The following is a 25,242-nucleotide window of genomic DNA, read 5'->3' on the forward strand; positions in this document are numbered from 1 at the left end:
TGTTAGCCCCACACCCCCTTGTCACGCATTTGTTTTAACTCGACAACCCTTTCTAGGCACCAGCTTCAGAGAGGGACAGGACACTGTCTTCATGGAGCCCGTCTTCTTCTCTCTTTTCATGATCTCTTGTTCCATTGCCCCGTCTTGCAGAAAGGTAAGGGCTTGTTTAATTTCAGCCTTGGTTTGGATTCAAGATCACTGTTGTCACATTTGGGAGTGTTTTTTTAAAAAAAAAACAAAACACATAGACAAGTAATGCAAACAAAGTAAGAGCAAGACTTGTGCAGCAGCTCTTTTGAGGACAATCAGGAGGTGTCTGGGGGGCCCTTCCCACTAGAGGGCACTGGACCCTGTCCCTGCATCTTCAGTCGTCTCTACTGCCACATGCCCTGTCCACACCAGGATGACCCCTCCCCACCCCAGCCCTATGACTCTGGAAAGCTCTTCAGCACACATAACAGGATCCAGACAGAACTTGGACCTTCTCTGCTGGAGCAAATTGGAATTCCTGAAATTGATTGAACCCTCCATACAGAGGGAGCTCAGTCCGCATCTCCTCGGTTTAAGGCCCTGCCTCAAATAGGGGTTCTGATCCCTCAGGAAAGCAAGGGCTCGAGACACAGACAAACCTGAGCCTGAGGGACTCTAAGGGGAGGTGTGGAGGTGCCAGGAACTATGAACAATGAGCAAAGCATGTCAGTTGTACCAGGGCATGCCCACCATCACACTACATGCTTTCCAGCATTTCTATTTATTACAAAACTGCTTTGACCTTGTTTTACAGGTTAGGAAAAACTGAAGTCTAGATTTCTCCAGTTACTTGTAAGAAGCCTTCTTTGGTGTCTGGGCCAAAACCACCAACCCCGTGGGCAGGACGAGTTGCTGCAGATCAATGAGGTGCCAGCACACCAGTAGCCATCCTGTTTGTGTGTATGACGCTCCTTTCCCCCTTGCCCTCATGAGAACAGCAGACCTCAGGAAATGACTTCTCAGTCTAGCACTTTCCAGCCAGACCATTAGGAAAACAACTGTGGTTGAACAAATGCTCAGTGCATTGGGAGACCACACACTGGGGGACTGTGGGGCATCTCAGTAAGCAGCTGTCAGAAGAACTTTGAGGATGGAGGCCTTGCTTAGGTCATTCGTGGGAGTGTTCCACGAATAGGGGTGTGCTTTGGATTGGGTGTTGTCAGGAAGTGGGGGAGATTATCTGATTGAGATGGTAGTAAATCTCATGTAGCACAGATGAGAGCAAAGCTAAAATGGGAACTGGTGAAGGGCAGCAGGCACTCGGATGAAGAGTTTGTGATTTCGTGGTTTACATAGTGACCTTGTGTTTGTCTATGCTGGGATAATTATTAAGTGGTCTTGTTTTTTGTCTAACTTCATCACAGTCACGGCATGACCTTGTCTGAGGGTGGTGTTCTGTGCGATTTACGTGGAACAAGAAACACCACAGCCCAGTGATGAACGCCAGGATGCCTCCTGACAACATCAGAGGGCGGCTGTCTCAGGCTAGCCCCTGGCTGTCAGGGGATGCTTGTTTTTCTCATGTCTTCAGCGTCATCTTTCATGCCTAGGAAATGTTAGGAAATGTTGTGGGGAATAAATAGAACAGTAGAGCCTAGTATCCCAGAACTACTTATGATTTAAGTAGCTAAGATTATATACTTTCCATTGTTTTGCCAATTGGTCTGTCTCCCTTGGGGACTTGTGTGGAAAATGGCCCCTTCACCAACTACCACTCATCAGCACCCTACCCCAATACTATGTCCAACATCTGACTTAGGCAAACCAGGAAGCAAAGGCCAGGACTGAACTAGGATCTCATGCCTCCTGATCCTTTGCTTTCCCATATGCTAGGGGGATTGCATCGGCTGGTGATCAACCCACACTGGAACCTGAACTCCACTGAATTGAATCTAAAATTCCATGGGAGAGCGAGGTCAGGGAAACAGCAGAAAGAGCAGAGAATGTGTAGGTTTCCTGTCAGCGACAGACAAAGTGGGGTCTACCTAAGTCCCAGCTAACCTTGCAAAGCACACACACACAGGTGTTGGGCAGGCGTTGCGGCAAGACCCAAGGCTAGAAGCTAAGCAGTATTAGGAGTCTTAACTTTATTCCCCTCCTCTTACCCCCGAAACTCACAGCCCCTTATTCTTCTACATTATGTACACATTTCCATCTGAGGGGAGGTTGTATGGTGAATTCATTCTTCATAAACCTTCACAGACTCCTCAGATGACATAATCAGTTAAAAGTCAAAGTCAATCAATAGCCATACAGGAAGAGGGTTTTCTCTCCCTTCTACAGCCTTCACCCTTCTGCTGAAGTGTCATACATCTGTGAAAGGAAAAGAACATCTTGGGACCCCAAACTCACTATACCAAAGGGAAAAGTTAAGCTTGGAAGCTGGGTCACAGAACACTGTCTTTCCTTTTGTTCCTAAACAGATAGCTACAAGAGGCCATGTCTCCCCAGGTGGCCTCCCCAAGTATGGGACAAGAGGAGAGTACAAACCATCCCCACTGCCCAGCCTGAGATAAATGCATATTTGACTTCTTCCCCTATTCTGTTTATCTTTTGTAAAGTGCAGTTTTACTGAGCAGGGGACATACATAATCGACTGTTCCTCTACCCATTCCTTGCCACGTGCAACACATGGATTCAGTGAGTGTGAATCAAAGCCTCCTAAGAATGTGACCATGCTCTCCCTCTTTTTTTTGTTCTTTCCTCCTTTCTCCTCCTGCCTACTTTTCCCCTTTAAATACTGAAGCCCTCAAAATCCTCTTTGGAGAAAGTAGGGGCCATAGATCATACTGTAGCTTGTGTCTCTTTTCCCTAGTGTGTCTTCAACCTTGGCAAAATAACCTGTACATTGATTGAGACTTGGCTCAGTCTTTTGGTTTACATGTCAAAGCTGCCACATATGACATACCTAGCCTAGCAATTTATACTTAATATTTGTTCTCTGGGCTTTGGGGTAGCAGAGATAGAACAATATACTGAAGCCATTTCTCTTCAAAGAGTTTTCAAACAATTTATTTCACAGGAGAGGTGGAGAAGGCCAATCTTCTTCACACAAGTTTTATAACCCATTAAAACAGTATCTTTCTAATCCCCTCAGAGTGGAAAACAGGTAATTCTCAACCTGGAGACAAGCTCTGAAGTACAGAGCTATCACCTGCTGCAGGAGGTGTGAAGGCTCATTCTTAAAGTTTTCTCACGTTTATTTTCCATTTTCTTAGCACAGAATGTTCTTTCCAGCAAGGTCCATTAAGAGAGACCGAAATATGAATATGGCTGCATTGGATTCCAGAGGAGGACTTGATCAAATACACAGAAATAGTGGCTTCAATGATCAAGTTATTTTGCTTCTGGTCAAGTCGGATACAAGTCTGAGTTTTCTTTTCAAAGCTCCCTTATGCTGAGAGGAAGTAAGAACAGAATCAGACTGCAGTCTACAACACAAGTGCCTGAACTCCTTTTCCAAGAAGAGCTTCTGTAGAATTCCACACTGCCTTAAGCACAACCTCACTCTTTCTCTCACTCTTGGGAAAGAAAAAAGTGAAAGATGCATCCGTGTAATTGACAACCTGAGTACGATCCCAAGGTTGTTAATATATAGTTTATTATAATCATGTGGGAAGTAAGCACACAATTAGAAGTCTTTTCTATACAATCTAATGTCATTTCTGACTCTGGTATCTCATAACCAAAATGAAGCTATTTTTCCTTTGTAAGCTCCTGATGTCTTTTGTTCAAATCCCTTTAAAACATAAAGGAACCTTAAAAAGCAAACAAAGGCTGATGCACCAATAAATCGCTTATGCCCTATCTTATTTTGGTAAGTCTAGATAGGCTCTAATTATTTGGTCATAATGTAAACAGATTGTTTAGAAATAACAGATATTTGATTCATAAAGCTCACTGTTGAGGCTTTCATGATACTGGCTCTTTTAACATGAGAAGAGGCAAAACGTGAAGTTCATTGTTGCAACATAATCGATTTATACTTTGTTTTTCAAAATGTGTTGTCCCTGAGCTAGAAGGCAGGCTGGGAAGAGTGTGGGGCTCCCAGGAAAAAAGATGGTGTGGCTTCATCCAACAGTGCCATCTGCATGTTGAGGCTGGGGCTGAATACCAAACTGTGCTGAATTGCAAGGAGTTTCCCCCACACGTGTTATTTCCACAACTTAAATTTTAAATTTCTTTCTCACCCAGACTTGTCTTCTGAGACAAAAAACGAGTCCATAAGAGGGACCCAATCTGTGTCACCTTTTTATCCCCCAGCTCCTATCACAATGCCTAGAATGCAATAGGTGCCAAATAAATGCCTAATTAAAAATCTCTCCACTTGGGGTATCTTCAGAAAAAGTCTACATGGGCTATCTTTAGTACTAACCCCACAACCAAAATTTTCCTTCAGTAAAAGAAAAATGACTGATACGGTTTGGCTCTGTGTCTCCACCCAAATCCCATGTTGAATTGTAATCCCCAGTGTTGGAGGTGGGGCCTGGTGGGAGGTGATTGCATCATAGGTGGTTAAGCACCATCCCCCTAGTACTGCCTCATGACTGAGTTCTCACGAGATCTGGTTGTTTAAAAGTGTGTAACCCCAGCCGAGCAAGGTGGCTCTTGCCTGTAATCCCAGCACTTTGGGAGGCTGAGGCACCTGAAGTCAGGAGTTCCAGACCAGCTTGGCCAATATGAGAAAACTTTGTATCTACTGAAAATACAAAAATTACCCGGGTATAGTGGCACATGCCTGTAGTCCCAGCTACTTGGGAGGCTGAGGCAGAAGAATCGCTTGAACTCGGGAGGCAGAGGTTGCAGTGAGCTGAGATCTCATCACTGCACTCCAGCCTGGGTGACAGTGAGACTCCATCTTAAAAAAAAAAAAGGAAAGAAAAGTGTGTAACCCCTCCCCCTTTGCTCTCTTCCTCTTGCTCCTGCCATGTAAGATGGGCTTGCTTTCCCTTTGCCTTCTGCTGATTGTAAGTTTCCTGAGGCCTCCCCCAGAACAGAAGCCTGTACAGCCCATAAAACCATGAGCCAATTAAACCTCTTTTCTTCAGAAATGACCCACGCTCAGGTATGTCTTTATAGCACTGCCAGAATGGACAAATACAACGACTTAGTAAGTATTTTTATCTTCATGTAAATATAAGGGAATGGAAATGGAAGGCTTCATTTTTTTAGTAAAGGTATTTTAAGTATCAATAAAAAGAGAGGAAAGGAAATTTGAAGAAATGGGAAAATACATTCTCTAGAATTTGTGTCACCTTGGTAGTGACAGGCCTGTCCTATAAATCCCAGGACAAAGTGAGGCCTAGGAAAGAAAAACACAGTCCCAAGAAGGTCTTCTCTGCCTTTGGCCTTCGTGGCAGACAGAAGTGACCTTCCCAACAGTCTCTGTTCCAGCTCAGTCAGGTTCAACTGCACTGCCCCGAGAAGATGGACAGCAGCTGGGAGACTCAACACTTACTGGCACATTCCCTGCTCTTGGTCTATGAGGTTTTATTCCCATAATTGGGCCCAAGCATGTATTCCGATGACAATCTTCTGTCCACCCACAGGTGCCCTGGGTGATTGACAGGGAAAAGCAGCCCTACCCATAGTTACTGTAGGCTTCACTGAGGCCACATGGCATGGACCTGTGCCTGCCCTCCTTCTGGGGCAGGGAGTGGTGTGAACCCACGTGAGTATTTCTGAAGCTGGGGGGTCCCCCATGGCTCAGAAACAGGCCCAGAAGTCAGGGCACCAGGGACCAATCACAGTCCTACTCCTTCCTAGAAACCAGATACTGGAAGCTGCCTTCTTATTTGGGGAATGGATCTTTCATTTCATAACTGGTTAAAAGGATTTTATATGCAAAGTCCCCAAAAATAAATTCACTGTGATGCCTAGTTAACTATCCCTAAATTCTTTTCACTGATATTCTCAATTTGCTATTCTCCAGATACCATTTCCTGAATTAAATTCTGTTGATCTTTTTCACTCAAAAAAAGTGATGAGTTATCTCCAGAACATTGATTTTTATCAACCTTGAGAGTAATACTGCCTTTATATATTATAATGATCAGAATGTTCTGTACATTTCCACTGCTTCAAAATTGTTTGTAATAATTACTTGGACATAAGACCTGCCACTGACTCACACTTTATAAAAAGGATTTTAAGTCCATGTGTGTAGCATTACCCGGATATAATTCTCTAGAAAGAGAATTCCCATTTTATTCATTTATTTATTTTTTGCAAACAATTTTAGAGGCAGGGTGTTAAACTGATTAAAATTTCACAAGATTGACATTATTGCTTAAAGTGCTTGAATTGGTTACATTTTAAAAAATTAAGGTACAGATTATTTTAAATAAAAACTACAATATTTTTAGCAACAAAATAATAGGAATGCCACACAAATACAGTAACTATTTTGGTTATACAGAAATGGAAGCCAAAAATAAATTAATGTAATACTGGAAAACAGAAATTTAATTAGGCAGAAAAGTAGGAAATAATTTTCCCTGACCCATGCCACTTACATGAGTTCATTACAATAGTGCTGATAAATGCCTTGACCATATAATAGCAAACAAGGGCAAAACATTTAGTGCACAATATTTTAATACACGTGAATATACAAAGTTGATCAAAATGCAATGTTGAAAGATAAAATCCATCTGTAATAAAGCTACACTCCAATATCTAAAATAAGCCCTAAGCTCCAGTTAGAACATAGATCATTATTAGGCATGCCCATGAAATTAAGGGTATCCATGAAAATAAATGCATAGGGATCATTTCTGACATTTTTCCCTATTTTATCTTAAACCCAAAATACACCAGGCCATAAAACCAAATATGATTGACTTCCTATTCAAACTAATGCCCTGCTTGTGTTGTGCCTCACTCTCTTTAGACCAGTCCATTTCCTATGACCACAGAAGTGAAAATGCATCAACACAATAGGACCAGATGCCAGCATTTTACCAACATTTACTTTTAAACACATGATTTTTTAGCATGCTGTGCCATAACCTAGAGGCTAAACTAGTAAGTAACCAATAAAGCAAATGTTCCTTCTGTTTTTTTTTTAAAGTGTAAAACATTGTAACTTATTTTGTAACACCCAGCAGTTACAAGAAATACAGCAGGCCTACTCACTCCTGCAGATGACACACGGAATCCTTGGCCATTGGAGGGAATACTGCAGAGCCTTTGGGCTATCGCTGACCTCAGAATGGTCTCACATCTCCCACACCATTTCCTGCTTTACACTGTGAATGAGGGATGTAAACTAAAAGTGTTTGCATGTTACTGTCTTTACATAAAGAGACATGATTGGGAGAAACCTGCAGCTGCCCAGTGTTTGTTTCATTTATTGAGAAGGAAGAGGGAAAAAATTAGCAGATAGCTCTAAATTTTAAAAAGCTGATGGAGTGTTGCTGGAGAAGTGTGTTTTGGTCTTTTTCCAATCTTCTTTTCCTGCACCATACAACTGTTTTAATGTGTTTGCAATATTTTCTTATACTTACCCTTTTTCGTTCCAAAAATCTATCCATGAATGCTGAATTTTAACTGACTCTTTCTATTAAAAGGAATTACTTCGATTAAATAACTGGGAAAAACATTTTGCACAACCAAATAGAAAAGAAATATCCTGAACTTATGACTTAGCATTTAAACATTACTTCTACAGCCTTCCAACTGAAATATTTTTTCTAATAAATTAGCTTCAAGAGGTGTTTCAAAGATAATTTTAATAACTTTTCTTATGAATCAGTTCCAAATATATTAGAGACCAACCATCATGTTCTTAAAACTTTGTAACTTGCAGTCAAATATATGGATTCTATATAGTACAAACATTTCCCTACATCAATCACCTTCAGTTGGAAAGTGCCTCTCCTTAAAAAGAGATCAAAACTCACCTTCCAGGTAGTGATTACTGCGTAAGTTTCATGGAGGAAAAAAAAATATTTATAAATGTGAAATTGCCTCTAAACAAGGCAAGGTACATTTCCATCACTTGTATAAAACAATAACATGAAGATCACCCTGTTTTGTCTTCTCCAGTGAAAAGTAAAACATTTCACTTCAAGCATAAACAAACGAAATGTTGGCATGCTTACTTAAGTTCTGAGCAATAAACAGTTCAAGATATTTCAAAGATAAGAAATCCAGTTTTCATCTAGATAAAGTGCTATCCTCTTCATTGTTGCAAAATGGCCACTAACATTTTCCATTTCAATTTTAGTTCACATTATGCCCAAAGTTTGCATGTTCATCAGTGGATGCATTAGGTAACAAAAATATGTTCACAGTTTATTATAGTGTATGGAAGTTAAGTGGCTTCTAAAGGAAGCCAAGATCTATGACTCAAAAACCAGCTCAACAGCAAAACACCAAATGACCCTTTTAAAGGTACCAATATTCAAATGCTCTAATAAATACATATATAACAAAAGTGAAAAAAGTAACTATAGTGAGATGAGGTTCTTCCAAAAAAATTCTGTCTTGTCAAGCATTCTAGGAGTCTGAGCCAAAGAAACAGCGCCATTTTGTTCATTCCTCCCCCTGCCCACGGACACTTCCTTTGAGCCACCTCTATACCCAGCTAACTCTGGTATTCCCTCTAGGGAAGGTTCTGTATCAGCCCTGGGACTCGCCAGTGCCTCAGTAAACAGACGGACTATGTTAAAAAGTTAAGTTGTACAACGTGCTGATGGCTGGAAAGATGTAGTACCTTTGTTATTCCTGATAAGGAACAATGCCGTGCTGACTGGCTAAGGGGAGGTTTGCCAGCCCTGCAGCCATTGACTGCCACATCAGCAGGATTGGAAAGATACCTTGAAAAGCTTAGCAGTGCCGGATACAGGATAAATACAACTCACAGGGCCTTACATAAGTGTCACTGAAAATAAACAACATAGAGTTATTTTCCTGAAACTTGGTTTTGGTAGAAAGGTACGAAAATAACTTTTCATTGTCCACAAAAACTTCCTCCTCTTGACTTTGTCTGCCCTGAGCCTTCTTAGCCCCTGGAATTGTAATGGCTAGGTCAGCACAGCCCAGTGCCAATGCCAGCCAACACCAGCCGCCACGGACAGCTTCTCTTCACCCTGTTTCATGTCAAGGATGATTTTAATATCGAGGTTACTCACTTTTCAACATTTTCACTTGCACAAACTTAAAGCTATACTTGCACCCCTAAAAGGTGAATATCTACCCAATTCTTCTGTCCTTGTATCAGAAGAGAGGCAGAGAAGCTGAAAATGGGTAGCAATGCTTCCAGGGACAAGTTAAAGGAATGCATTGTAAGAAGACCCTGGAAGCCATAGAAGTTTAGCAAACACCTAAAACAGACCGTAGACATTCATAGGAAATGTCATTCTAATACAGCCAGACATAATGAATGGCATAGCTTTCACCCAGTCCTAAAATTAGCAACCGTTATTCATATAAATCAGACTACAATCTGATTGCAGTTAACTCTATGTCAGACTGAAATAAAACCAAGAGTAGTGCTGCATGTAAAAACACAAAAGGAGAGAGTCTAACACAGCCAGACCATTGAGACTCGGAGTGATACCATTAGTGGGCCACTGGGGAAGAGGAAAGCCTGCGGAGAAGCCGGGTGACAGTGCTGTGAACATTCTCCCCACGTGAATCAGTCCCGCAGGTCTTTCAGTTACTCTCTTGACTGATAGAATAAAATATATCCAGATTCTGAATTTTTTGATATATCTGACGTCAGGCCATAGAATTCTTCAATAGCTTGAGCATCTATTTTCTGCAATAAAGGAGAAAGAAAACAACACAATTACTTAACATGATTCCTGGGGAAAGGAAATAAAAACTAATGGAATATATATTAAAATGCAAGGAACACAATTTGTTATGAAATCATCATTAGGAACTTTCAATAGCAAATGGAGAATTCCACAGACTTGGCTAAAGGACATCATCACATAAATTGTACATCTCTGGGAAAGAAGGCAATGCCTTCATGCATTAGCAACCCTGTGTGGGCACTCTTTGAAGAACAAGCCAAGACATCTCCCAGATGGTAAACTGATGGGTCCTGGAAATAGCCCTAAGTCTTTTCGGCCACCAGAGTTCATCTCTTTTGGTGTTATTCCACTAAAACTGCTACCTTAGTGGGTTAAAATAGATCATGTCTTTGAGTGTAGAATTCATTCCAGCTAGTATTCTTTTATAACAAAATCAATACATAGAATGTATTGGTATAATATAAAGATTTCCAGATCCAACAGACTGAATAAAATATTTTAAACAATAATCAATACAAGAAAAATTTGTTATAATAATTTTAATACAACTTTGAAGTCTATTGTTTGCCCTGTATCAGAGGGGGCTTTAGTCATGATAAGAAACAAGACTTAGACTGAAGTCTGATTTACGGTGGCACAGATAGAGAGATCCCATGTCTATGGATGAACCGTGGAGAACACAGCGTCAGTGAGTCCATGATCACACCCCTTCTCCCTTTCCATGGAGCATGGGGATTAGCAGAATTTGGTTTTGAATACAAATTTAAGTTGTTTTCAAATTACATTATGGGGAAACAGGCCTATTTTAGAAAATGTCTATACATACACATTCTCCGAAATACTACTGATGCTCTATGACTACTGGAGAATAATCTGCAAACCAACCTCTACAATGTCATCATCAAACAAAAGCCAGAAGCCGTGACTTTTCACAATAGTGATATAATGCCCACGATTAGGACCACTGGAAAAGAACAAATAAAAGGCAGTTAGCAAGTTAACATTTATCTCTTTATAAAACTCTACTTAGCTCTTTATAAGCAGTGATTCTCTGGGAAAAAAAACTATGTCATCAGCGTAAAGAACTTGGCATATAGCTCATGTCTATGTTTACAACACCATGCTGGACACAGGGGAATACAAAAGTGTGCAGAAGAGATGTCTCCTAAGGACTCATAATCCAGCAGCAAAAACAGACACTCAAATTCAGCAAATATTAACAAAAAATTACTCTCTACGTATTCTGTGCCAGGCCCTATTCTAGCTGTCAGGGGAAGAAGCAGTGAACAAAACAAAGACCCCACTTACTTAGGACTTGGGGTAGGGGCTAGATTGGCAATACACAAACTAAACTTATAAATGTATGTCAAGTGGTGAGAAGTGTCATGGAGAAGGATGAAGCAGGGTAATGGGATATGAGTGATGGGAGGAGGTAATATTTGATGGAAAGTGAAGGGAGGCCACTTTGATAATGTGAGTAGAAGGAAATTTCCCTGAAGGAAATGGCAGGGGGAGGGGTAGGGGTGGGGGTCAGGGCGTGGAGAGAAGCCATGTGACTCTGGGATGGAAGTTTCAGAAATAGGGAATAGCAAGTGCAAAGGCCTGGGGTGGGCGAGTAGCACTTGGTGTGTTCAGGAAGAGCAGAGAGGCCAAAGGAGGCCAGAGCAGCAGAGTGAGCGAGGCGGGGAAGACCAGAGGGGGCTGAGGGGCAGGCGCAGTAGAAGGAATTGCAGGTAAGATTTTAGGCTTTGCTTGAGCAAGCCAGGAAGAAATGGGGAATTTTAAGGAGTTGTATGATCTATGCTTTAGAAAGACATTAATAAACCAATATGCATAGTAACAAGTGTTAAAAAGCCGTATACTATGCTATATGGAAAAAAGCAGAAAGGACAACTAAGCACCTGTTACTATGTAGTTAGGTTAGATTTGCACAAGTGAGGAGATTTCAATCCTAAACCTAAAACTGTTTTTTAATGCACTGTTAAAGTTGAAAAAGCCAAACTTCCCCCTCTGTTTACCCTCTTTCAACACAAGATGATGGCAATGATCTGTTCCTGCCCTTTCTCCAGCCTCCTCCAGCTACTGTCTCCCTTTCCCTCTGAGCTCCAGCCCATCTGGCTCCTCTCACACACTGCCCCCTTCATATTATGGGCCTTTGCATTGCTGTAAACTCTGCCAGAGATAATCCTCCCCCAACTGCATTCTATTTAGCCCTGTGCTCAAATGTCACCTCCCCAGATGAATCTCTGCTGACCAACTCACCTGAAGATGTATCTCCCATCACTCACTCCCTCATCTCCCTGCTTATTCCTGATAGCACTGATCAAAATCATAAATTATCTGCAGTGGTTTGTTTTTGGGGGTAGCAGGGTGGTGTGTTTATTTGTTCATTATCAGTCTTTCCAGATAGATTATAAGCTTTGTGAGGGCAGGGTCCCTGTGCTGTGTGTCTTTTCGTTACTCTATTTTCAGATCCTGGCATGGAATCCAGAATATATGAGCTTAAAAAAAAACTTGCAGCAGAAATCAGTGCATGAGGCTATGCACCTGCTGCAACTGTGGGCCAGGAGGTCCTGGCATGGAAGGGAAGGCAGGCCCAGCTCCCTAACCTCAAAGCTTTCCAGTGCTACCTGGAAGCCACCCAATCCGCAAGCATAGGCCAGCCCTGCTCCACATAGGAGAACAATGCTACTTCTGTGGGGAGGAGTTTGAAGAATCCTAGTTAGTGGCATGCATGACTTGGCACCAACTGAGCTCTGCTACCAGGGCTCTTCTGACCTTGTGCTCACATTACAGAAACTGACCTTAGAGAACCCAACCTCCCGCTGAACGTCCAGTTCCCTTACCTGTGTCTCTGCCAGTCCTCCCAAGGATTTGAATTGGGCACCCACAGAGACCCACACTGAAAGTCCTGTGTACCCTGTGCAAGGGGCCCTCCTGTCCACACCACCCCTGCCACCCACTTTAGCCACAATGCCCACCAGGTCCCAGGCTCTGCCTGCCCTAAGATCTTCCCCAACCCTGCACCAATGTGAGGCCTCATCCAGTGCTCAAGGCTGGGTTCCAGATCACTGGAACCCTGTGTTCTTCAAAAGAATAACAGGTGTTCTTTAGGGAGAACACCACAAAACTGGCATATAACTAGCCAATAAATATCATTTTACTGAGAATACAAGAAAATATCCAGTGACTTAAAGTTAATACACACAGGATAAAATATGGGGTGCTTCAGATGTGAAGTTATACAGTTTCTGATGCCATCTACCCTAGTACACAATTAAAAATATATCAACCTATTCCTCTGCGTGGCAATGGTAGTCTCCTGGTAATGGTGTATTCACCATAATCCGACCTTAACAGATGGAGGAGAAAGACTCTTGCTCTATGACATGCCCCAATCTAAAACCTATGAGGGCAGGGGGAAAGCTGTGCCTACTCCCAAGACAGAACATAAACCTGTCCCAACTGAGCAAAGAATAACAAACAGGTGAATTTTCAAGATACTTTTCTTCCCTTATACCAAATTATGGAATAAAAAATAGCTGCTCAAAGGAATTTTGGCAAAATGCTTTGCCTCTCCATATCTAGAGGCCTTCTCTCTCTTATCTTTTTTCTGATTATATACTTATTACAGAATGTTGGGGAAAGACCAAAAATAACAAAGAATATTTTTTAAGAATATATTTTTAATCACTCAAAGTGCCAAAAAATTATTAAATTTGATCCATTGCTTCTAGTCTTTATTTACACATCTTAAAATACTTTTGAGATCATACTGTAAATGCAACTTGGCTTTTTAAAAATTAAAATCATAGCATAGACATTTATTTCTCCATGTTATTTCAAATTCTTCATAACCATCGTTTTCATGCAATGGAGATTTATTAAGTAATTTCTCTCATGATAGAACATTTAGATTATCATTACTGGAATGCTCTTTATTTTATGTGCCTGCAGGCATGTTTATATATTTTTTGTGATGATCAGTAAGAGTTTGGCAGAGATCCCAAAACTATTGAGTGCCACGGCCCAGGAAAGGTGCAGCTGGGTATACTTCAGCGAAGAGGCAACCCTTACACTTACCCTGTATACCTGCTTCCAGTCTTGCCCTTACCTGCCACAGTGAACGACCACCGCAACCAAGTCATACATGCGGTCCAGGTTCACTGCATCACTGGAGGTGTTGAAGAGCCGGAGTTCCAGAGGGAAGACCACACGGTAAGACAGCTTGGTGTATCTGTGCAGCTGCTCCATGTACTTGAACCGCTTTAGGTGCAGGGCCAAGATCATGGGCAGCTTTTTTACCCTCATCCTAAGAAACCAAGAAATAGAAAATCAGTTGTACCCAACACCTATTAGGGGAAGAGAATACACTGTCATCTGCACAAACAGAATAGTAGGAGGTTCTATCCAACTTCAAACCAGCAAACAACCAAACAGTTTGCAAGGATAAAAGTATGCTGGCATATATAGAGCTGACTTATCCTACATCCCTGGCTCCCAGCAGGAGAAATGTACAATGGTGTGTGTCTGTTTGTTGGAAGGAGACGTTCCAGAATTTTTGTACAAATAAAAATAGGCTGTGCAATTGTTCTCCATCACTGCCCTGTGCCTTCCAGAGAGAAATGATATTTGGACAATCTACCCCCTGAGATGATGGAGAGGAAGGTTGAGAGCTTTTGAGAACAGGAAGCTGGGAAGAGGACAAGGTAGATGATGCCGACTGCTGGACTTACAGGTTCTGAGGACTGGCAGGAGGATGGATGCTTCTGACACACACTCTTGGGCATCGGGACACCAAGCGTGCCAGGCTCACTCTCATTCCGACCCTTGTGATCTTGGGCAAGTCACTTCCCTTCTCTAGCTCTCAGTTTCCTTATTTATAAAATGCAGGGGTTGGCTTAGGGCTACATTTCACAAACTGGGCTCAGGAGAGCACTGGAGATGTTAACAGATGTGGTGTTTCTGTGGCTAAGTAAGTTTGGATGATGCTACTTTCTGCTTTGAAGATCCTATGTGTACATTACCAGACTGAAGACTTTGAGAAATCCTGCAGTAAAGGAATTGTTCTGTTGTTTGATGTTGCACTTCCCAAACTTATATAAACATAGAAAAGTTTTTTTACTAGGTGACCATTAACATTTCTCAGTAAAAAGTCGCAAAGGCAACAGTTTATGCAGAGTACACTGCTAGAATAGAGGGTCTTCCAGTTACCTTCCAGCCCCCATTCCATGAATGTACTGAATTAAGTGTAAATGCCATTTAGTTTGTGTACATTTTTAATGCATAGTATGTGAAAAAGACAAATTTTAGAAGAATAGTTTTAAGGAATCTATTAAGGAAAAGCCCTGTTCATATAAATAAGCAAGTAAAACAACAGTAGAGAAATAAGAAGTATGGGGAACCCCATGTTTTATGGGAACACATGACATTGCAATATATAAACCCCCCAGGGCTGAACAAAAAATGTCTTAATGCCACAAAGGAAGACCCCAGGCCAGCCTTAGGCAGATTGAGGTTATAAGGATGGGGGACAGACATGAGTGACCTTCTTTACTAACAAAAGGTATCTACCTACCTCCTTGAGGACTGCCCGCTAAGGTGACTAACCATCTGTAAGTTTTGCAGCAAAGAAAAGTGTACATGTTTGGAGTGAACGCCTGGGAAGGCTGGGCAGAGAAATGATCTCAACCTCAGGTCTAGACCCCTGAGGGTTTTAGACAGCAGTATTGAGCATCTGCCAGCTGCCTTGAATACTCCAGAACCACTGACAAGATAGATTTAACTCACAGGAAGCCTTCGCAGGATGACTGAAATGGCAACTTTCCTGGCTTGTAGGAGCAGATTAATGGGGGTTATTCCAGATTTTCCAAGAACTGTAACTGTCTAGTGTGCAGGAAAGGTGGTGCAATAACTTTCTAACTTTCTTATCACCTGTTCTTTTTCTTTTTTCTTTTTTTGATACAGAGTCTCACTCTGTCACCCAGGCTGGAGTGCAGTAGTACGATCTCAGCTCACTGTAACCTCTGCCTCCTGGGCTTAAGTGATTCTCCTGCCTCAGCCTCCCGAGTAGGTGGGATCATAGGCACCTGGCACCATGCCCAGCTAATTTTTGTGTTTTTAGTAGAGACGGGGTTTCACCATGTTGGCCAGGCTGGTCTCAAACTCCTGACCTCAAATGATCGGCCTGTCTTGGCCTCCCAAAATGCTGGGATTATAGGTGTGAGCCACTGTGCCCAGCCTCTAATCACCTATTCTTATAACTGATGTGTTAATAATTTCCTCATGAGTCCTTATGAAATGATATATATTTTTTAAACCTCTGTCTCTAAATAAGAGGTCCTAATGTTTAAGCAATACAAACAAAAATAATATTGGGTGTCTACTATGTGTTATATACTCTGCTAAGTACTTTATATAATTTACCTTTAATCTCAAGAGAATAGTGATTATATTTAATCATTACTTGTTTATCTAGCATAATATCTGGCACATGGCAGGGCTCAACAAATATTTGCTGAATGACTGAATGAATAAACAAATAAGTAAACAATCGGACAGACAACTCTCCAAGTTGTTCTCTCCAAGGTCAGCGTTCTTATCCCAGTTTCACTGGTGAGGAGGATAACTGACTTCCCCAAGGCTCCATGGCTACAAGCCCAGGTAGCTGAGATTGATTCAAAGCCAACCCTGCTGGGCCCCACAGTCGGGATCCTTCTCACCACACAAAGATAACCCTGAGCTAAATCTTTACCTACCTTTTCTGGGCTTCTTGTTTGCTGCAGCATGTTTCACAATAATATTTTTGTTCACTACACAGTGTTTCTGTGTTGCTGAAGTCTCTGTAGAGGAAAATATTTCCATCTTTAAAAAATGTCCAAATCTACTTGGTATACTATGTTTTAAATCCCTCAATTAACCTGTAGGGTAATTTTTAAGTAAAAATGGAAGAAGAAGTAATCAGAAAAAAATCCTACTTAAGACTAGGATGGTAGAGAAACTACAGGATGAAAAACAAAAATAAGCTAAGACTGGGTGCCATTACGGTGGTAGACATGCTCTTTTCATCGAATCATGAATTTACCATGAGAGATTCAAATATAGTTTTATTTAATGGGACACAGGCAGATATAAATTAGGGTTTCCAACTGGATTCAGAAAAAAAACTCATGATTTAATGGAGAATACCTATAAGCTAGAAATTAAAATCGTAATAGAAAAATACTGTTGAGTAAAAGTTCACCGTAAACACTAAAACTTAGATCCAGAAAGTAAATCACATAACATGCAAGGTGACATTATTGTGTAGTTAATGAAAAATAGTATTTCTCTGGTAGTCCATATTTTCAAAGAGCATGAAAGTAAAGATAATGAAATTTAAACCACATACAAAACTGCCCTCTTAGTGAACTAAAGAAATCCTGAATTAATCAGATGACCACCTCCTACCAACCCCTGCTCCCCACTGCTCCCCCGCCGGAGGAGATGAACTTTTGCCTGCCTCCTTTGGAGAACAAAAGCCATTGTGTTTGTCATATGTGTATCTGCCTTATCATGAGGTTCTACTCTGCTACTTACGGTTTTTATTTTTTAAATGTCATGGTTTTTCATTCTTTTCCAGCCATCAAGATTCTACTTAACATTTCTGTGGTACTGCTTCAAAGGCTGAAAAGAACATCTGGACTAATACCCTATAGTTTTGAAAAATTCTGGGGCATTTCCTTGTTCAGTGTCCTAGTACCATAATGACCAGATTTTATTAAACAGAAAATGTTATTTAAAATGTGTTAAATGATTCTACCACTTACACAGAACACATCAAAAGAAAACACAGATTCTTTCATTCATTAAGTCCCCAAATGTTTCCTGCCAGTCCTCTGGGCTAGGTTCTGGGGATCCACAGAGAATAACTGCCTTCATACGGCTCACACTTTAACAGAGATGTGTGCAAATGAACCACTGACAACATGAAATGATCAGTGCAGCTTCAACAGAAAGCATTACATGATTCCCCTGCTGAAATCCTCCAGCAGTTTCCAGTGCACTTATCCACCCTGCCTCCTTCTCTCTGCTCCAGCCACACTGGCCCTGGGAAATCCTCTTCTCACCTTAGGGTGATTGCAGGTGCTATTTTCTCAGCACTGAGAGCTTCCTCCCAGAGGCTTCCATGGCTGGCTAACCCGGTTGTTCAGCACTCAGCCTAAACATCCCCTCTTTGGAGAAAACTTCTCTGGCCACTTTGTCCAAGCCTATCCAGCCCCTATCACATTGCCGTCTTATTTCTTCCCAGCATCTGAAACCATTCCTCTGTTCATTTGATTACTTGCCTCCCCTCTATGTGGGCAGTGCACTTGTCATTCCTATATCCCCAGCATGACACACAATGGAACACATTAATATTTGTTGGTTGAATGAATGAACCAACCAAGACAGAAGCAGGTGTAAAGTCCAGGAGAAAGCACAGAGAAAGAGGGAAAGTGTGCCAGGTGAACAAGTGAATAAGGGTCAATGACTCCTGAGAGAGAACACTGCAGTGCAGAGGCCTGGAGGTAGGGAACAGCAGCGGTGACGTATTAGTCTGTTCTCATGCTGCTAATAAAGACATACCTGAGACTGGGTAATTTATAAAGAAAAAGAGGTTTAATGAACTCACAGTTTCACATAGCTGGGGAGGCCTCACAATCATGGCAGAAGGCAAAGGAGGAGCAAAGTCATGTCTTACATGGCAGCAGACAAGAGACAGCAGGTGCAGGGGAACTCCCATTTATAAAACCATCAGATCTTGTGAGACTCATTCACTACCACGAGAATAGTATGGGAAAAACTGCTCCCATGATTCAATTATCTCCGCCTGGCCCCACCTTTAACACGTGGGAATTATTACAATCCAATGAGATTTGGGTGCAGACACAGCCAAACCATATCAGGCAGCAAGTCACATAGCCTGGACTATGCTACCAAGAAGCCAGCATGAACCCTAACCAACAGTCTCAACAAAGAAACGACATAATCAGGTAGTGCTTTTTAGAAATTCCACTTTTGACAGCATGGTGGAGGGGGCATTGGAGAGGGATGAAAGGCAAGAAAGCCATTAGAATGCAAATGTACTAAACTTTCAGATTTCAAGTACATGGTGCATAAAACAAACTCATACTTAGCTGAATGAATACTTCAATTGAGTAAGTGCTGTGGAATCTTGTTTTGGCTGCATGGGATTGACTGGAGTGGAACGGGGAGCCAGAGGCAGGGAGATGAGTGTGGGTGTGATGGAGCTTCATATCCTCCCAATGTCTACTGCAGAGAAGCTGTACTACCAAGCTAAAGGGTCACAATAGCCAAAGAAAGGCCAGCAACAAATAAGGAATCATTCATTCCTACTCATTCTTATTTTCCCCAAAAACTTATTTGATTTGTAGACCCAGACAGGTGGAAATATAGCAGAAGTTAATACCTAATGTAAAGACCCATTTTACAAAGAAGCTTGCTGACAGAGTAATGCTCTTAGGGCATCCATGAGTTGAGAATTAGAAAATGAAGGTAAGTTAGGAGAAGGCGAGGACCCCAGCAGTAAATGCTGAGGCAGAGCAGCTGTCAGTTAATGTTCTATACCTGTTGGAACAAAAGTGGGCAACAATGGTATAGGAAACTCTTCAATGAGAAAGACAAGAGGGGCACTTGCTCTTTCCAACACTTGGGATAAATTACCAAAGTACAGAGCAGAGGTTGGGAGAAAAACACAAAATTCTTTGTATTGCTTTAAAAAGAGGCAGAGCAGCAATAAAACATTACTTAAAAATACACTTTGGGGCTTGATATAGTTTGGATCTGTGTCCCCACCCAAATCTCATATTCAATTGTAGTCCCCAATGTTGGAGGTAGGACCTGGTGGAAGGTAACTGGATCACGGGGGCAGAATTCTCATGAGTGGTTTAGCACCATCCTCCTGGTGCTGTCCTCACCATACATCGTGGAGAGTTCTTGCAAGATCTGGCCGTTTAAAAGTGTTTAGCCCCTCCTCCAACCCCTGGCTTCTGTTCCAGTTATGTGATGTGCCTGCTCCCCCTTCATCTTCTGCCATAATTGTAAGTTTCCTGAGGCTTCCTCAGAAGCCAAGCAGATGCCAGCACCAAGCTTTCTGTACAGCTTGCAGAACAATGAGCCAATTAAACCTCTTTTCTTTATAAATTACCCAATCTCGGGTATTTATTTATAGCAATGTGGGAATGGACTAATACAGGGCTGGTCCAAAAGTAGTGAGTTATCTCAATTGATGGTTCACAGTCAGTTATAGATCAAACTCCTTGTTCTACTTTTACCCTCGTTCTCAGGAAGGAAGGAAGGAGGGAAGGAAGGAGAGAAAGAGAAGAAAACACACTTTGGGAACAAATCTAATAAGAAATGCACACTTTTACAAAAAAGGCACTAAAGCCTTATGCAAATATTTTAAAACTTTAAAAAATGCAGAAAGACTGTTTCTGGATGGGAAGGCTATCATTTTTTGTAAACACAGCTATCGTGTCCAAGTTAATGTCTATCTTTGATATATTTTCAATTAAAATCTTCTTTTTCACTCACCACAATAATTCAAAATTGATATTAAAAATCCTCAAGCAATGCTTCCCGATAATTTCCATGTCATGATCCACACAGAAATACTACATGAGAAACACACCAGGATATACTGACGAGGCTGCGCCTATGGCTGGCCATGGGGCTCTGGCACAGCCAGGCCTTCCCAGCCTCCCAGGAGCTGAGGAGATGAATACATCTAATCCATTTTCCCTGGCTCACCAGTTGGGAAGCTTTGTTCTAGAATCTAGTGCAGTGATTCTCCTTCTGCCCTCCTGGCTGCTCGATAGAATCATCTGAGAGCTTTAAAAACAATCCCAATGCCCAATCCCGCACCCCTCCACCCCCCACTCTCCCTCCATTCAATTACATCAGAATCTCTCCAGGTGGAACCCAGGCATTGTTGTTCTTAAATCTTCCCGGGTGATTCCAATGTGCTGCCAGGGCAGAGAGCCATTGCTCCAATGCTTCCCAATAACCTGGGGATCTCATCGGCACTGGGAGAATGGGAATTTAAAATGAGAGGAAGACAGAGGAAAGAGAAGGTGGTGGTTTTAGAGCACTGAGCATTTGGAGGAGTAAGGGGAGATTCTGGGAAGGAGTCATGGGGAGGGTCTAAGGCGCTCAAGTGGAAGACAAAAATAACCAAAAAGGCCATGCAAGGACAATTAAGATAAACTTCACATAGTTTAAGTTTTTGCCTGAGGCCACCCCTAAACTTTTCACAAGGAAAAAACATCTTTCTTTCTCAGTATTCTCCTATGACACAAATGGCTTACTCTGCCTAAGACACAGTACTGAGGTTTGAAATATTAGAATTATAACTCAGCTACCATACAAACTTAACAGCTTCTCCAGACCTGTATCCTGAATTTAAACACTATTTATATCATTTCTCTGAAACAAAAGTTCAGTCACCAACTAAAAACCTTCTGGAAGAAGGTGGCAGAGATCTTAGATTCAAATCCCAACATTTTAGCTTAACTTTTTATTTTTTAAAGTTATCAAAATGAAAGAAACATATCAGAAGAGATATGCAGACATAACATTAGAGAAGAAAATTCATAATTCTAGTTTAAAAAACAAATCCTCAAAAATGCAATCCACATTAAACCATGAAAGGGGCCAAGCAAGAGCCCACCCTTCCCTTATCTTTTGTCTGAGAGACAGAGAAAGCTAACGACTCCACTGGCATTATTTGCTCCCTGCATCTTTCTCCTGCACGTCCTTCTCCCATCACGGAACTCTGAGTGGTGAGTGGCAACACCTGGCAGGCTTCTCTTTCTGCTGTGGAGGTGACATCTCACACGCATGTTAGGGCAGGTATAGCCGAGTTGGTCAAGGTCTAGATTAGGTGTGATGTAAAACAGGGGATGGGGAGGCACTTCAGAGATATCAGCCTGCACAGTGCAATAAGACAGAGTTGAATATGTTTAAAGGGCATTCAGAGGCTACTTCATACTCACCCACCCTAGCCTGAACATTTCCAAGTGCCTCTAGCCTGCCTTCACCAGGTATGGATGACCAACATACACATTTCTCCAGGAAAAAAAAAAATTATGGAAACCTAAACCTCAATTCTATTTCTTTTTTTTTTTTTTTTTTTTTTTTTTTTTTTTTTTTTTTTTTTTTGAGGCGGAGTTTCGCTCTGTCGCCCAGGCTGGAGTGCAGTGGCGCGATCTCGACTCACTGCAAGCTCCGCCTCCCGGGTTCACGCCATTCTCCTGCCTCAGCCTCCCGTGTAGCTGGGACTACAGGCGCGCGCCACCATGCCCGGCTAATTTTTGTATTTTTAGTAGAGACGGGGTTTCACCGTGTTAGCCAGGATGGTCTCGATCTCCTGACCTCGTGATCCGCCCGTCTCGGCCTCCCAAAGTGCTGGGATTACAGGCGTGAGCCACCGCGCCCGGCCTCAATTCTATTTCTTATAACAAGGTTTCCCAAAGGTTGAAATTATCACCAATCACTTAACACTTTACCTGGCTGATCTCAAATCTACAGCCACTGCCACCTGCCCTTTTGACTAATGACTTCCATTTTATGCTCTTTTTTCTCAGTGGGACTCTTCTCCAGACCACATAATCGCTCTTGGGAAAGGAGAGATAGAAAATAATAGGATCATATTGGTTTAACAGAAGGGAAGATTATGTCCTGAAGAAATACAGGATTTTCTCTCCCACTTAGTTACAAGCCTGATCAAAAGCTCAAACTGCCTCAGAGTTCATATACCTTAGACAGTGGGTAATGGATGTATTCTGCTCCACATCAACAGAAAGGTCAAGAAAATCTTCATCTTTGCTACTAACCTGAAACAAAAAACAGAAACAATATATTAGGCATGAAATATGTAGTAGATAAAACTTTGAACATGTATAGGTAATCACCGACTGCAATAAAAACCATAACTGCAGTTAAAGTCCTGCATGGACATGTATACTCATTGGCACCCAGTTACCTCAAAAACAACCCAATCTAGAGAAAATCCCAAATTCTCAATTTAACCTCATCCCCTTCCCAGTTTTGACTCACAGCTTTTAATAGTTAAAACTCAACCAGATTTCTCTTCCTCTCCATTCATTTTTCCCATCGTTTCAAAGTAGGGAGTATTATTAAATATCCATATAGCCCAGATTGCAGAGTGATAAAAATGGAAATGGAAAAAGGACAAGAGACTTATAAAATCTACCACCCAGATGACCATCCCTTGTTGAGTCGTTTCCACTTTTTGCCAGTCCCTTGAAATCACTCCCTTTCTCCCTTGCCCCATCATTCAAACTGTGTGGTGGGCCAGGGAGCCTGACAGGCAATGGGCTGGAGAATCGCACTGACCACACACAAAGCTGTCCTTTGGCCAGGAAGTGGTCATCACATGCAGAGCCCTGTGCTGTCCATGACAATGACCAGACCTGGGGCTGGCCTGCAGCCTGGGCTCACACAGGCCCGCCATACCGTGGGCAGCTCTCAGCTGAGCCGGTTCGGTGGCCCCAGCTGTCTCTCAGCCTTCAACAGCTCACTCCACACTAATTCTAGATCTCATATATCTCAAGGCTCACTGAATAAGTGCTTACTTCCCACTAATTCACTGACAACCCTGGGGTTTTACTGTCTTGTTCCCGGAGTAGCAGGAACAGCTGGCAACAACCTTCAGGTGCTCAGTCATTTAGCAGCAAAATGAAAACAACATTCTTTTTAAAGTGTGACAACTACCCTATGACCCAAAATTCCAGAAGTTATCTGAAGAAATATTCAGAGATGTGAATACACTCTTTTATACTTTTAGAAGTACAAATGGGGGCCAGGCGTGGTGGCTCACACCTGTAATCACGGCTCTTTGGGAGACTGAGGCAGGTGGATCACTTGAGGTCAGGAGTTCAAGACCAGCCTGGCCAACATGGTGAAACTCCGTCTCTACTAAAAATACAAAAAATTAGCCAGGCATGGTAGCACATGCCTGTAAAAATCCCAGTTACTTGGGAGGCTGAGGCAGGAGAATCGCTTGAAGCTGTGAGGCAGAGGTTGCAGTGAGCTGAGATTGTGCCACTGACTCCAGCTTGGGTGACACAGTGAGACCCTGTCTCAAAAAAAAAAGTACACACAGGAATGGATACTGAGACACAAGAATGGTTATTGCCCAGATCCGTATCCCGTCTCTGCCGTTTATATAAAGTCGATGGCTTCAGGCCAGCTACTCAGCCTCTGTTTCCTCATCTGTAAAGTGGGGACAACAAGAGTGTCTATCTCATAAGGCTGTTGTAAGGAGGAAATAAGATAATACATGTGAAGTGCTTTAAAAAGTAAGGACTCAATAAATTAGGAAGGGATAAAACATTTTAAGTGGCCTAAAATGGTCAAAAAGTTGGGAATGGCTTTCTACATTGTGGTTATCACACTAATTGAAAAACTAGGTTATACAACTACATATAAGTTAATCCCAACTTCGTATAAAAAAGGCATCTTTATACTTACACACATGCATCCCCTCCCTTGGCATTCTCTACCATCCTGTTTTAATTTTTTAATGACGTTTATTTCTACCATGGTAGAATGCATTAGTAGCCCCAAATCCTCACCATTGCCTCTACTGGCTTCTTTGTCATATGGCTTCACAGATACTCTCATCAAGAGGTGATTATGTTTTGCCACCCTTAAGTCTGAGTGTGACCATGTGACTTGCCTTGGCCAGTGGGATGCTAGAAGGCAGGTTACCACCAGCAGAGGCCAGCCAGATCAAGCATTTGTGAAACTGCTCTCTTGCATCACTGTAAGAAGGATAACCCCAGGCTAGCCTGCTGTTCCCAGGAAGAGGAGAGATTCATGGAGGAAAGCTGTCCTAACCAAGGCATTCCAGCCAAGCCCAATCTAGAGTAAAACCCCTAGTGATCTTGCAGACACGTGAGTGGGCTAGCTGAACTACAAACACACAAGTTTAGCTGAGTCCAGCCTAGACTAGTCGACCACAAGCCAACCCACCATTGCATGAGTTATAATAACAAATGATAGTTTAAGGCTCAGAGTTTTGGGGTGGTTTGTGACAAAGCAATAGGTAACTGATACAACCACTTATCCTTTTATATGTTTTATTTTTATATGTTTACTGTCTGTCTCCCCCTCGCTAAAATGAAAGTTCAAAAGACTGGCTTCCATAGTAACTAAGATCCCAGCACACCAATACTCCTCCAGAAAACTAGAAACTATAAACTCACATAACCAAAAACTAAAAGCAGCTACCTGAAGGCACTGGAGAGTGAACACAAGCAAGCACATGGGGAGTCCACACTTGGAGGAGGAGAGCTGTACACAACGAGTTCATGGTTTCATGGCCTTTAGCTTGGGGTGCTGAGGGGGAAATGCAGTCTTTCCGGTCTGCAAGCCAGAA

The 25,242-nt window shown here is 42.1% G+C and overlaps 1 protein-coding gene across 5 annotated transcripts in view; it reads right to left on the reverse strand.

Annotated features, from left to right (window-relative positions):
* Nucleotides 1–3,014: 3,014 nt before the first annotated feature.
* The window catches only part of USP46 (ubiquitin specific peptidase 46), a 68,342-nt gene continuing 46,114 nt past the window's right edge, over nt 3,015–25,242 (reverse strand). For 4 of the 5 annotated variants that reach the window (NM_001286767.2, NM_022832.4, XM_047416088.1 and 1 more), the window contains exons 5-9: nt 22,596–22,672; nt 16,556–16,639; nt 13,912–14,109; nt 10,683–10,761; nt 3,015–9,796 (exon numbers count right to left, since the gene is read on the reverse strand). In NM_001286767.2, coding sequence (NP_001273696.1) covers nt 9,695–9,796; nt 10,683–10,761; nt 13,912–14,109; nt 16,556–16,639; nt 22,596–22,672 — 540 coding nt within the window. In that variant the 3' untranslated portion in view covers nt 3,015–9,694. Of the gene's footprint in view, nt 9,797–10,623; nt 10,762–13,911; nt 14,110–16,555; nt 16,640–22,595; nt 22,673–25,242 lie in introns of all 5 variants that reach the window. The other variant, NM_001286768.2, reaches the window with a different exon arrangement.

The sequence above is a fragment of the Homo sapiens genome, chromosome 4 (genome assembly GCF_000001405.40).
Source record: "Homo sapiens chromosome 4, GRCh38.p14 Primary Assembly".
NCBI lineage: Eukaryota > Metazoa > Chordata > Mammalia > Primates > Hominidae > Homo > Homo sapiens.